General features: G+C 48.4%; 1 protein-coding gene across 12 annotated transcripts in view, besides 1 other annotated feature; it reads left to right on the top strand.

Annotated features, from left to right (window-relative positions):
• MTUS2 (microtubule associated scaffold protein 2) overlaps window positions 1–12,695 on the top strand; it is a 685,985-nt gene that overhangs the window by 667,835 nt on the left and 5,455 nt on the right. For all 12 annotated transcript variants that reach the window (XM_047430227.1, NM_001384605.1, XM_011535019.4 and 9 more), the window contains 4 exons: window positions 103–208; window positions 4,849–4,922; window positions 9,441–9,539; window positions 10,621–10,740. In XM_047430227.1, the coding sequence (XP_047286183.1) occupies window positions 103–208; window positions 4,849–4,922; window positions 9,441–9,539; window positions 10,621–10,740 (399 nt within the window). The remainder of the gene's footprint in view (window positions 1–102; window positions 209–4,848; window positions 4,923–9,440; window positions 9,540–10,620; window positions 10,741–12,695) is intronic.
• Window positions 8,726–8,805: an enhancer, noted in NCBI's record as "active region_7519". NCBI's record gives its function as "activates an Ori minimal core promoter by ATAC-STARR-seq in GM12878 lymphoblastoid cells {active_cell/tissue: GM12878}" and the evidence as "EXISTENCE:reporter gene assay evidence [ECO:0000049][PMID:35858748]".

Raw genomic sequence — 12,695 nt, forward strand, 5'->3', positions numbered from 1 at the left:
TGTCATTGATGTTTTGGGTCACGGACCTTTTCCACTCACGGAATTCCACTTCTGTTCTCCAAGCAGCTCTCTGTCTAACCAGTAACTGCGACTCTCCTCCAGGTGGAAGATCTCACCGCCAGCCATGATGCTGCTCTCCTAGAGATGGAAAATAACCACACAGTTGCCATCACAATCCTGCAGGATGACCACGACCACAAAGTCCAAGGTAGCTCCCAGCCTCGTGTGCAGCAGGCAGGGGTGGGTGGTGCAATCCGAGCCTTTCCTGCTGCAGATGTGTGGAGCCCCCCTTCCTCTCTTGTCCCTCCTTTCCTGTCTTTCCCTCCTGGTGCATTTTTTCCTGTTGGCTCCTGGGAAAAGAAGAGATAGGAATTAAGGATCCAGGTAGTTAGCTGCTTCTTTCCTCCAATGCAGTTATCCTCAACCTTGATGAATACTGGAATTCCCCGTCCCCTGGGGAGCGGTAACAAAAGACCAATGCCAGCCTCAGTCCCACCCCAGGGATTCTGATGTCCTTGGTCCATAGTGCAGTGTAAACATCAAGATTTCTTAAGACTCCTTAGGGGATTCTAATGTGTAGCCACACTTGAGGGCCACTGTCTAAAGCAGGCATGGAAATCGTGCACTTTTTTTTTTCCTCTTTTTTTTTTTTTTTTTTTTTGAGACAGAGTCTCACTTTGTTGCCCAGGCTGGAGTGCAGTGGTGCGATCTCAGCTCACTGAAACTTCTGCCTCCTGGGTTCAAGCGATTCTCCAGCCCCAGCTGGAGCCTCCAGCCCGAGTAGCTGGGATTACAGGTGCCCACTACCACACCCGGCTAGGCTTTATGATGTTTATTGCCTTATAAAAACAAATGGAAGCCCCGGCATGGATACACTTTCTTCATATTTATGATGTTCTCCGGGCCACTGCAGCATCTGGTTGGATCGGGGTATCCAGAGCTTACACTCATAGACCACATTCACCGTGGGTGTGCGTTAAGTCTCCAGATCTTTCTTTCTACATTTTTGTAACTTTGAATTATCTTTGGGTTTTACGTGGGTCATAACAGCATCATTACTAAGTTCCAGTGAGATTTTCCTTTGTGAAAGAGGCAGCATTTTACACTTTCACATGCATTTACATTAATATGTACAGTTTATTTTTCAACTTTCTCTCGCTTTACTTTTCCCTCCCAGTCAGCTGGTTGTTAAAGTGTGTATTAAAGGCCGGGAGCCGTGGCTCACACCCGTAATCCCAGCACTTTGGGAGGCTGAGGCAGGTGGATCACCTGAGGTCAGGAGTTCAAGACCAGCCTGGCAAACATGGCAAAACCCCGTCTCTACCAAAAATACAAAAATTAGCCAGGCGCGGTGGGCTGGCTACACGGGAGGTTGAGGCAGGAGAATCGCCTGAACCCTGGGAGGCAGAGGTTGCAGTGAGTCAAGATTGCGCCATTGCACTCCAGCAACAAGAGCGAAACTCCGCCTCAAAAAAAAAGTGTGTATTAAAAGCAATGACAGTTAACAATACATTGATAAACTTTTACAATTTGAGAATTAGCATCAGAGTTTTTATTATTGTTAAAATGTTCTCTGTGAACAAGACCCAGTGTGCCATAACCAAGGTCTGTGTTATTGTCACCCTCAAGCACCACCCCCACTACCTCTGGGAACTATTAGTAAGTGACCAAGCTGGAGGCAAGGGATGGTATTTTCCTGGGGACTAGTTAAATGGATTGCCTCGGTCCTGGTAGTGTGTTTCACACTGAGAGTACTGGTCTCTACCCTCGGCTACACATTGGAACCACCTGGAAGTTTTTAAAAATATACTGATGTGTGGCTCTTACCTCTGATATTCCAATTTAATTGCTCTGGGGTGCAGCCCAGGCATCAGAAGGCTTTAAAACTCCCTAGGTGATTCTAATACGCAGGAAAACTTGAGGACCATTGTGTTAAACACCGTATTAAGCGTGAGACAGTGTCATGAGCTTGAAATAAAGAAATACATGATGAAGACACAGTTAGCAATGGTTTATGTCATCTTCAGAATGGATACTGCCTCTTCTTTTCCCTTGGGGCATTGGGATCCTTTGAAAACGCCCTGAAATCTGTCACTAGAGGAAGCTGGTCTCACAAGAAAGAACGTGAGTGGAAATGGTGCAGTGAGCCATGGTGTTGCCTTTTCTTTCTGGATTTTCACATAAATCTGGTGGATTTTTCTGACTAACGAAGTCTCACTCAGACACCACATTCCAGGTCTTTGAATTATAAATGATGTCAAGGCCATGTGCGTGTAGGTAATGGTAGCTAAAAAATTTATTATTATGGTCAGGATGCTGCTCTCGATGACTGTAACACTAATCATTTAGTCAGAGGCAGGCAGACCGGAAAGGCCATATGGTTCTCTATCAATGAAATCAACACAAACATTTCTTTTCCAAATGTAAACGTCAGCTATAACAACTGGATTTCTTAGTGACCCTTACCACCATTAGTTAAAAGATTTGGGTCAATGAAAACCACAAAGTTTTTCCTAATTGCAGCACACGCCACCCAGAATGGTAATTGTCGGCCTCCAGTACGCTACCATTCTGAGCATATGATGCAGGCCGATTAATGAGACCCTCTTCCCTCTCATTATAACATGAAAACAAATTGCTTGTGTAGCCAGAATGAGATGGGCTTCACCCAGCTAATAAGACTCTTCCCATCAGGAGGAAAACAGAATCCATTTGCTTAATAACTCTTACATGACATCTCTTTCTGCCTAACTTGCAAATTATTGCTGGAATGACACTTTTCACGGAACAGAATTGTTTCAAACCCTCCAAGAGGAAGCAGTCCAAGTAGTTCTTCCTTGCATCTGAGTTGTCTTAACACCGAATCTTTGCTGAAGCAAATCCCAGGGACGTATAGTTCTCCGAGTGCAGCCAAGAGGCTACCAAGGTGTCCGTGTAGACACAGCACTGAGCCTGGCTGGTAAGCCCGGCTGGCAGGATGGCTGCTCGCAGCTCCGCTGCTTTCCTCAGCCCCAGATGGCTGCTTCGCAGTGGGAAGGAAGAGTGATCCTGGGAGGGGAAGAAAATAGGATTTAATGTTAATTACCTAGTTATTTTGCCATGAGAACAGTTTAGAGAATCAATGAATAACGTGAACAAAGGATATGACTTGGGCAGGATGGTGGTATAGCTGAATGTAGAAGTGTGGATGTGTGTGTGTGTGTGTGTGTGGTGTGGGAGGTATGGGGGGATGCGGGTTTGTGTGTGTGTGTGTGGTGGGAGGCATGGGGATGTGGGAGTGTGTGTGTGGTATGTGTGCGGGTGTTTATAGTGTGTGCAGTGTGTGGGTGTGCATGTGTGTGTATATGTGTGGTGTGTTTATGGGGAGTGTGTGGTGTGTGGTGTGTGTATGTGGTGTATGGTGGGGGTGTGGGTATGTTATGTACAAAGGTGTGGGTGCTGTAAGGATGGGGGAGGGCATGTAAGTGTGTCCTTGTGTAAATGTGTATGGATTTGGAGGTGTGCAGGCGTGGCAGGTTATGAGGGTGTGATTAGTGTGTGTGGGTGTGTTATGCGTGTGTGGTAGGTGTGTATATGGTATATATGTGTGTGGTGTGTGTAGTATATATATGTGGGGGTGTGGAGGAATGTGTGTGGTGTGTGTGTAGTGGGTGTGTGGTGTAGGTTTGTATGGTATGTATGTGGGATGTGTGTAGTGTGTGTATGTGGGGGTGTGGGAGGCATGATGTGTGTGGTATGTGTGGGGGTGTGTGTGTGGTATATGTATGTGGGGGAGTGTGTGGGGGTGTGTGTGACAGGTGTGTGTGTGTGGCATATAGTGTGTGTATGTGATTAGTAGGTGTGTATGTGTGTGTGGCATGTAGTGTGTATGCGATTGTGTGTGGTGTGTGTGGAGTGTGGTGTATTCGTGTGATGTGTGTGGTAGGTGTGTGTGGGGCGTGTGGGGTGTGTGTGTGCGTGTGGTATGTGTGTGATGTATGTATGTGCTGTTGTATGTAGCGTATGTGATGTGTGTGGGGTAGGTGTGTGTGTGTGGTAGGTGTGTGTGTGTGGCATGTGCCATGTATGTGATGTGTGTGTGGTGGGTGTGTATGTGTGCGTGGCGTGTAGTGTGTGTATGTGATGTGTGTGTGGTAGGTGTGTGTGTGGCATGTAGTGTGTGTGTATGTGATGTGTGTGGTAGGTGTGTGTGGTGTATGGTGTGTATGTGAATGTGTGTGGTAGGTGTGTGTGTAGTGTGTGTGTATGTGATGTGTGTGGTAGGTGTGTATGTGTGCCATGTGTATGTGAATGCGTGGTAGGTGTGTATGTGTGTGGTGTGTGTGTGTATGTGATGTGTGTGGTAGGTGTGTATGTGTGTGTGGTGTGTATGTGATGTGTGTGGTAGGTGTGTATGTGTGTGTGGTGTGTATGTGATGTGTGGTAGGTGTGTATGTGTGTGGCATGTGTGTATGTGATTGTGTGTGGTAGATGTGTGTGGCATGTGGTGTGTATGTGATGTGTGGTAGGTGTGTATGTGTATGTGTGGCATGTGGTGTGTATGTGACGGGTGTGTGATGTTTGCGTGTGTGTGTAGTGTGTGGTCTGTGTGTGTTCATATGCGTTCTATCTGCCCCCATCTTCTTTTTCCCTCCCTTTCCCCAGTCCCTTCTTTCTTTCTCTCTCCTGAATACTAACCTGGTCATGACATACAATTTCAAACCAGTGGAGGAGTCCCCTTAGGCTTGAATCTGCTATACGGGAGTCATTTATTTACCTGAAGTCACAGGTCTTAAGTCTGCCAAAAGAGCCTTGTTTTATCCTTTTCAAAAGAAAGACCAACTTGACAATTTAATGTCTTCTTTCCAGAATTGATGTCCACTCATGAGCTTGAAAAGAAAGAATTGGAAGAAAATTTTGAAAAACTGCGGCTGTCATTGCAGGTTAGTATTTCTTTAATTTTCTTACCTGGTATCGAGATAATGGCAGCATCATTATTCCCACCCACAAACATTCATTCAGCACCTACTGTGTACTAAATCCTGTACTAAACAATAGAATATAAGGTAAATAAGTCATACTCGCTACTCTTAAGAAATGTGCTGTCTGCTCAGAAAGCTGTGATGCAAATAGTATCAGACAACAGGTAACACATACTTGCACCAAATGAATAATACAGTTGGTGAATGCTACAGACATTCAGAGAGATTACTCTGCACTTGGTGTGGTCTGGAGTATCCAAGGAGTAACTGAGCTATGTTCAAAGCAAGAGGAGGACTGGGGGAAGAGAGTGTTCTAGGCAGGGGTAACGGTGCAAGGAGGGTTGTGCAGGTCAGAATTCACAGAACGTGCTCTGAGACTTATAAAAGGGGCTGCAGTTACCTGGAGGTGGCTGAGACGAAAAGCACCTTCTCTTCCTCTCACTGCCACCTTTAGGAAACGCTGGTCTCAGATGCCAGAGGAGCTGCCTGGTGTCCTGCAGGCCTCTAAGGAGAGAATGCAGGTGTCCCAGATCACCTGTGTCTCCTTCCTGCCTTACAGAGACCGAGGTAGCTGCCTCTGTGAAAAGACATTGACAACCCCCAGCCCCATGGAAGAGCTGCCTGGGAAGCCAGGGGGACGCTAGGGGCCCTGCTTCCATTTCCAAGTGTAGCAATTCCAATCACAGCAAAATTATTTTTTAAATGTTAGGCACACTCTCATCTGGAAATTGTGGGAGGTGAATCCCATAGCTGTAACACGTAGGCAGGAATTCTGCTTCTTCGATGGCTCACTTTCCTCTGGCAACATACGTGGCACTGAGCCTGCCCCATCAAGAGTCCAGGATTGTGGAGAGACCCAGGGTCACACTCTCCAGTGTACTCTTCAAAAACTAAAATGTGTTATGCCTGCACAGTGCTTGTGTGGTTTGCCGTTGGCCAATGAACCCCAGACTGCCTTCCTCGTATACACATCCTGCACCAATAGTTGCGCTATCCTTAAAGGAACACAAATCAGGAAAGTGACGGCCATACAGCGATATCACAAAAATCCCATCCAATCCCAAACCCAAAGAAATGAGAGTTTTGTCTTGTCTGGGAGTCTGCGCCCTGCCACTGACACCAGATGGTCCTGAACTGGGCATATGTTTGTTGTGACTGTCCAGCAGAATCCGTTTGGGCTGGAGGTTATTTGGTGCAAGGAGGGTGGAATTGCTCAAGCCAACCTCCTTGGTCTACAGGCACCTGGAGAAACAGGTTTGGTGGTTAGAGATTTGAGTTTTTGTTTAAATCCCCGCTGCACTAGCTCTTACTAGCTTTCACATCTTGGAGAGTTATGTAGCCTCTGTAAACCTTAGTTTACTCTTTAAAATAAGGATGATGACAGTATCTTTCTCAAGGTGTGAACAGATTAAGGGAAATAACGTGTGAAAAGTGGATAGCCCTGGGTTGGCTTAGATCACTGCTAATAAGTGGCAGCTGTTGTAACTATTGTAATAATAACAAGCATTGTTACATTTATTGTGATTATTGTCATGCTGTTGGTTGGCTCCAGCCAGGTCTTTGTGCCTCTTAGCATGACATAAAGAAGCCAGCCCAAGTTAGTTGCAATAGCACACTCTGTCCCTGTAGATCTCTTTTGAGTGATGGTGAATAAGGCAGAAACATCAGTTTGGTATTTTAGATCCATCCTATGTTGTAATTGCCTGACGAGTTTGCTGTTGTTTTGTTTTTTTAATGGAGGGAAAGAGGCTTAAAAGAAATGCTTTCTCTGGCAGCACTGAGGAGGTTTGGTGTAGGAGCCATGGAGGGAGAGTCATTTTTATAGTCAGTGTAGCAGGTGACCTGTGCTAGGTCACCTGCTACACTGCCCAGGCTGTGATGAACATTTCAGCTCATAGGCGCGCAAGCCCCCACCTGCGGCGTACTGCACTAATGCACCGGCATTTGCATTTCATGGCACTGTGGGAACTTCTATTTCTTAAAAATAAAATGGAAGTAGGCTGGGCACGGTGGCTTATGCCTGTAATCCCAGCACTTTGGGAGGTCGAGGGGGGCAGATCACCTGAGGTCAGGACTTCAAGACCAGCCTGGCCAACATGGTGAAACCTGTCTCTACTAAAAATACAAAAAAATTAGTCGGATGTGGGTCAGGCACATTGGCTCACGTTTGTATTCCCAGCACTTTGGGAGGCTGAGGCGGGCAGATCACCTAAGGTCAGAGTTTGAGACCAGCCTGGACAACATGGTAAAACCCTGTCTCTACCAAAAATACAAAATTAGCTGGACGTGGTGGTGCATGCCTGTAATCCCAGCTACTCGGGAGGCTGAGGCAGGAGAATCGCTTGAACCCCGGAGGCAGAGGTAGCAGTGAGCCGTGATCGCGCCACTGCACTCCAACCTGGACAAGAGCAAAACTCCGTCTCAAAAAAAAAAAAAAAAAAAAAAAAACTTAAGTCAGATGTGGTGGTGGGGGCCTGTAATCCCAGCTACTTGGGAGGCTGAGGCACGAGAATCACTTGAACCCGGCAGGCTTAGGTTGCAGTGAGCTGAGATCATGCCACTGCACTCCAACCTGGGTGACAGAGTGAGTCTTTGTCAAAAAAAAAAAAAAAAAAAAAAAAAGGAAGTAACTGGAAAAGAGAACAAAAAAGAGGAAAAGAAACCTACTCAGGGAGGTTTGCAGAGAGGGTCCTCCACCATAAGAAAGCAAGCAGTCAAGCCCAGCACTTCGCATGTTAGTGTCACTGTGTGCACTTATTAGCATTCACAATATCACTTCCTATTATTTGGTGGGATGATACCATTTCTCTTGCCAGAAAAGTTCATGGGAGGCTAGGAATGGTGGCTCATGCCTGTAATCCCGACACTCTGGGAGGCCGAGGTGGGTGGATCACTTGAGGTCAGGAGTTCGAGACCAGCCTGGGCAACATGGCAAAACCCCATCTCTACTAAAAATACAAACATTAGCTGGGTGTGGTGGTGCACGCCTGTAGTCCCAGCTACTTGGAAGGCTGAGATGGGAGGATCACTTGAGTCTGGGAGGTGGAGGTTGCAGTGAGCCAAGATCATACCACTGCACTCTAGCCTGGGCGACAGAGTGAGACCCTGTCTCTGTCTCTGTCTTTGTCTCTCTTTTTCTCTCTCTCTCTCTTTATATGTGTGTGTGTGTGTGTGTGTATCTATATATCTATATCTATATCTATATATTTTTTAGAAGAGTTCATGGGAGACCCTAGTTTCTGTGTTTTGATATTACAGAAATGGTCCTGTGCAAAGAGCTTTGGACTGGTCTGCATGAGTGAGACATGAAGGGTGAAGGTCTCCTTGGGCATCAGTGGTCCTTTCCCAGCCTGTGGTCCTGAGAGTCATGGCCAGAGCTGAGTGGGGCAGGGTCAGTGCAGGTGCATCTGCCCTGGGACCTGGGGAAGGGGTGCAGTGTCTCCATAGACATGCCTGTATTCCTTCAGCCTGCAGGTGGAGAGCAGCCAGCTGCCTGCCTAGCTGACAGGCATGGGAAGGTTGAGGGCTGGGAGCGCCAGTCTGGCCACGGGGCAGGTCTGAGCAGGGAGGAGGAGACTGTGTGGACTCAGCTTACGTGGCAGCTCCTATTAAGGACATGCAACCCAGTCCTGAGGCCAGGAAGACTGTGTGGGAGCCAGAGTGAAGCGGGAGTGAGAGGGAGCTGGCTGGAGGTAGGCACTGCCAGCAGGAGAGCTGGCTGCGAGAGGAAAGGGAGGCAGCGGGGCTGGGAGGATGCTGTGTTAGGGAGTGTGCACTGCACCTTGAGGGCAGTGGAGGAGGAGATAGGGGAAGGACAGGTTCCGGTTTGCACATTAGAAAGAGTGCCTGACTGCAGTGTGAGGGCAAAAGAGTGGTAATTCAGAGAAAAAGAGGAACCGTGCCAGGAAGGAGCCGGCAGAGTGGCCTGAGCTCAGGGGACTCTGTGGGTTCTAGGGACATTCAGGAGGCAGGATGGCAGGAGTTGATTATGGACTTGGTGATTAGAAGGTTTGTTGATGTGGGAGGGGTCCCAAGGGAGAGAAAGAAGTCAAGGAGGGTTTGAAGGGATCTGAATTGAGCTTCCTAAATGAGAATACATCTTTGAAATACATTCATCGCGGTCCTTCCCAAAGCCAGGGGCTAGGTGCCTCCTGGACAAGAGGCACCTCTGAGGATTCTCTCCGAGGACTGTCTGCCTCTGTGGGGTCAGATGTTGTGAAATGCCTCCAGTTCAGTGTTTTTGTGGTGTCTTCCTGACAAAGCACTAAGAAGGAGGGAGCCGAGGGCAGGCGTTGGGGGAAACCATCCTCTGTTGTGTGGTTGTGGGGGCTCTCCTTTGGCACCTCTTTCTTCAGCCCCAAGGGAAACACTCTGAGGATGCCCAGGGCACAGTGGTGGCCTGCTGATCACAGCTGCCCAGGCTGTGGTGGCTGCTGTCTGTAGTGGCCCCAGCTGGACTCCTTGTATCATTACTTGCAGGACCAGGTGGACACGCTGACCTTCCAGAGCCAGTCTCTGCGGGACAGAGCCCGCCGCTTCGAAGAGGCCTTGAGGAAGAACACAGAGGAGCAGCTGGAGGTCGTTTCTGGATTCCAGGCTTCCAGCCCCGCAGGAACCCCGCCCCAGCAAGGCCGAGGGACTCCCTCAGCAGTCTCGTCCCAAGACAAGGCCTCTCTGTGAATCCGCTGCTGAAGTGACAGCTGGTCACGACCTCCCCTGGATTTTTAAACAATTCCTGTCAGCAGCTCTCCCCTGAGACAGACAGCAGCTGTGGGTTTCTCCAGCTACGTGTTATTTTTGCCAAATTCCACAGCATTCCCCAGCTGGAGTCGTGGGGCTCCTATGATAAGCATGGTCTGGAAACCCCCCTCCGCTGGCCTGACCACCCCTTCCAGCCCATTCTCCCGCAACTTTTTAAGCTGACATGGGGCAGCCTTGGCTGCAGCATGCGTTCAGTTGAGGGGAATTTTTTCCAGAAAAGCTGGCAAAACTCCTTCCCTCTAACATGGGGTTGCCAAATAAAATACAGGACACCCAGTTAAACTTGAATTACAGATAAATAAATTTTTGAGTATAAGTATGTCCCATGCAATACTTATACTGAATTTTTTAAAATGTCATTTATCTGAATTTGGATTTAACAGGACACACTATATTTTAATTTGTTATATCCTGCAGCACTACTCCAACATGACTTTTTCTAAAATGGCTTTTCTGCTTCTTAAACCACTTTGCTCATTTCCTATGCCTGAGCTTTTTATGGGCATAGGTGGGACCTATAAGAGTCCCAGCTACCTGGTGAATCAAGTCGGCCGGGTGAATGTTAAAAGCCAGTGTTGGGTTTACTCTTTCTACCCCATGAATTCCCTGCTGGGCACAGGCTGGCAGCCCCCAGCAATTCTGGAGTCAGACTTGCCAGTGGTTGATGGCCATGTCTCACCTGTTCCCCCACAGAACTGGATTTTAGGAGGGTTCTCAGCAGGAAACTAGCAGGGCCCCTTTATCAGGGAAGGCTGTGAGCATCCTCTCTCTTTGGTGTTGCAGTTGCCATCAGGGCGCTTGTCCCAGGAGGATAGATTTAGCTGGATTCGTGACATTGGTTAATACTGGGTTTTGCCGGGAATCCTGGTCAACAGCTCATGGCTCTCTGCCTCTGTAGATTGCATTGGCTCCTTATCAGCACTTGGAAGAAGACATGAAGAGTCTGAAGCAGGTATTAGAAATGAAGAATCAGCAAATACACGAGCAAGAAAAGAAGATTCTTGAGCTGGAAAAGCTGGTGAGTTGGTCTGTTTGCTCGGGAGAGTAACCTCCATGACATTCCTGCTGTCATCACTGATGTCATCGTTGATGGTGTTCAGCCAGGTGTGTCCCTTACCTGCCCATTGCTTACACCCAAGCAGAAAATCCCACAGCTGGCCTTTCCCAGGAATCCAGGAGCTCTCATAAGGAATCTTGGAGGTGGCCTCACCTTGTCCAACTCTGGAGCCTTCCTGATGGGCAGTCTCTTTCTGCTTCGCCCTGGTTTTCCCACAGTTGTGCTGTCTTCTCGCCCTCTCTTGGGGACGTGTGGGGACCCAGCACAATGCAGCATCCCTGATGCCCAGACACTGCACGGAGCACTTTCCCCGAGCCTGCGCCTAACTCCTACGGCTGCCTGTGGAGCAGCTGCCGCCACCAGCCGCTTTACAGATGCGGAGATGGAGCTAAGGAGCCCTGGCCCAGTGCTTCCAGTCCTCACAAGGCAGAAGGGGCCAGGGATCTCCCTGGGGCCCTTTTTATAAGGCTATTAATCCCATTCACAGGGGCTCACCCTCAGGACCTAATCCCCTCCCCAGTTCTCTGCCTCCTAATACCATCACTTTGGGGGTTAGGTTTCAGCACAGGAATTTGGGGGGACACAAACATTCAGTCCAGAACAGAGTCCTAGCTCTGACCCACACTCGCCCACCTCAGCCCACCAGCCTGGCTCCTGCAGAGCTAGCAAAGGGCACTCCCTAGGGGGCACAGAACACCCAGGATTTCACCCTCTACCCTGGGGCACAAGCCCCCAGCCAGGGCTAGAGTCCCAGAAAAGTGTGCAAAGGGAGTGGAGGAGAAGCCTCCTTCCAAGGGCAGCCCATCTTGATCTGGAAATTGGCCCCAGGATCTCAGATTCTTATTTTTTCCCTTTATTATTGTTACTTTAAAAATAAACTTTTGATACTAACAAAAGTAAATATGTGTACTGTGGAAAATTATGAAATAAGATAAACAAAAAATAAGCAGATTATAACATCATATTCCTACCAGTGCTTATACTTTCCAGAACTTTTTCTCTGTAAGGTAGTATCTGCGTGCACATGTGCACAGGCACACACCCACCCACCCACATGGCCAACATATTATACTGTATAAGTGTTTTATATCCTTAGCTTGCCATCTCAGGCAGGAACTGATCATCTCATCGAAATTCCCCATTTGTGAAATGTCCCTTGCATCTGTATAACCAAGCCAGGGGCTGATCTAGGGCCACCCATTGCATTTGGTGGCCATGTCACCTCTCTCTCTGGAAGCATCCCTTTTTGCAGACATCTCTTGCTGCACGGGTGCAGTTAATGGGGGCAGACCAGATGATGCTGGATTGTCGCCAAGATTCTGGGCGATGCTGACCACTCTGCACCCTCCAGCAGCCCAGGACTTCCCAGCTCAGGCCAGGCCTAGGGCTGGCGGGGAGCTACAGGACAGCGCCTGCCTCAGCTGAACCCTGCCTTGCAGCCTTGCCAGTGTGGGGACCAGCTGTTCTGAGAGCAGCCACCCATCTTCCCCCTCCTGGCTTGGCCATTTGCATTGGGTCACCAGCAAACCTCTGGGTTTACTTGGCTGATTTTAGCCATCCTCCAGGCTTTCTGCCTGCCCATATGGCTTCTCATCCCAGAAACCTTTCCAGGCAAAAAAGAATCTACTCGATCACTTCATCTCCTGGGAGCAAAAGTGAGGGCTGGGTGAGGTGTCTTGCTAAAGAGCGGGGACAGAGGCCAGTCCTGTGGCTAGGATTCCTAAGTCCTGTTCATGGAAAAGGGACAGTTTTCTTTAAAGATTAACTACATTAACAGTGAACTTGTCACATTCTTTTCAGGAAATAATTTATTTCTAAATTGGTCTTAGAATCAAACTGTACTTCAGCTAGGTCTCAGGCCCTCGAGGACACGCTAACAGAGGGAAAGGCATCAATTGCCGGGGAGTAACAGCCAT

The sequence above is a fragment of the Homo sapiens genome, chromosome 13 (genome assembly GCF_000001405.40).
Source record: "Homo sapiens chromosome 13, GRCh38.p14 Primary Assembly".
NCBI lineage: Eukaryota > Metazoa > Chordata > Mammalia > Primates > Hominidae > Homo > Homo sapiens.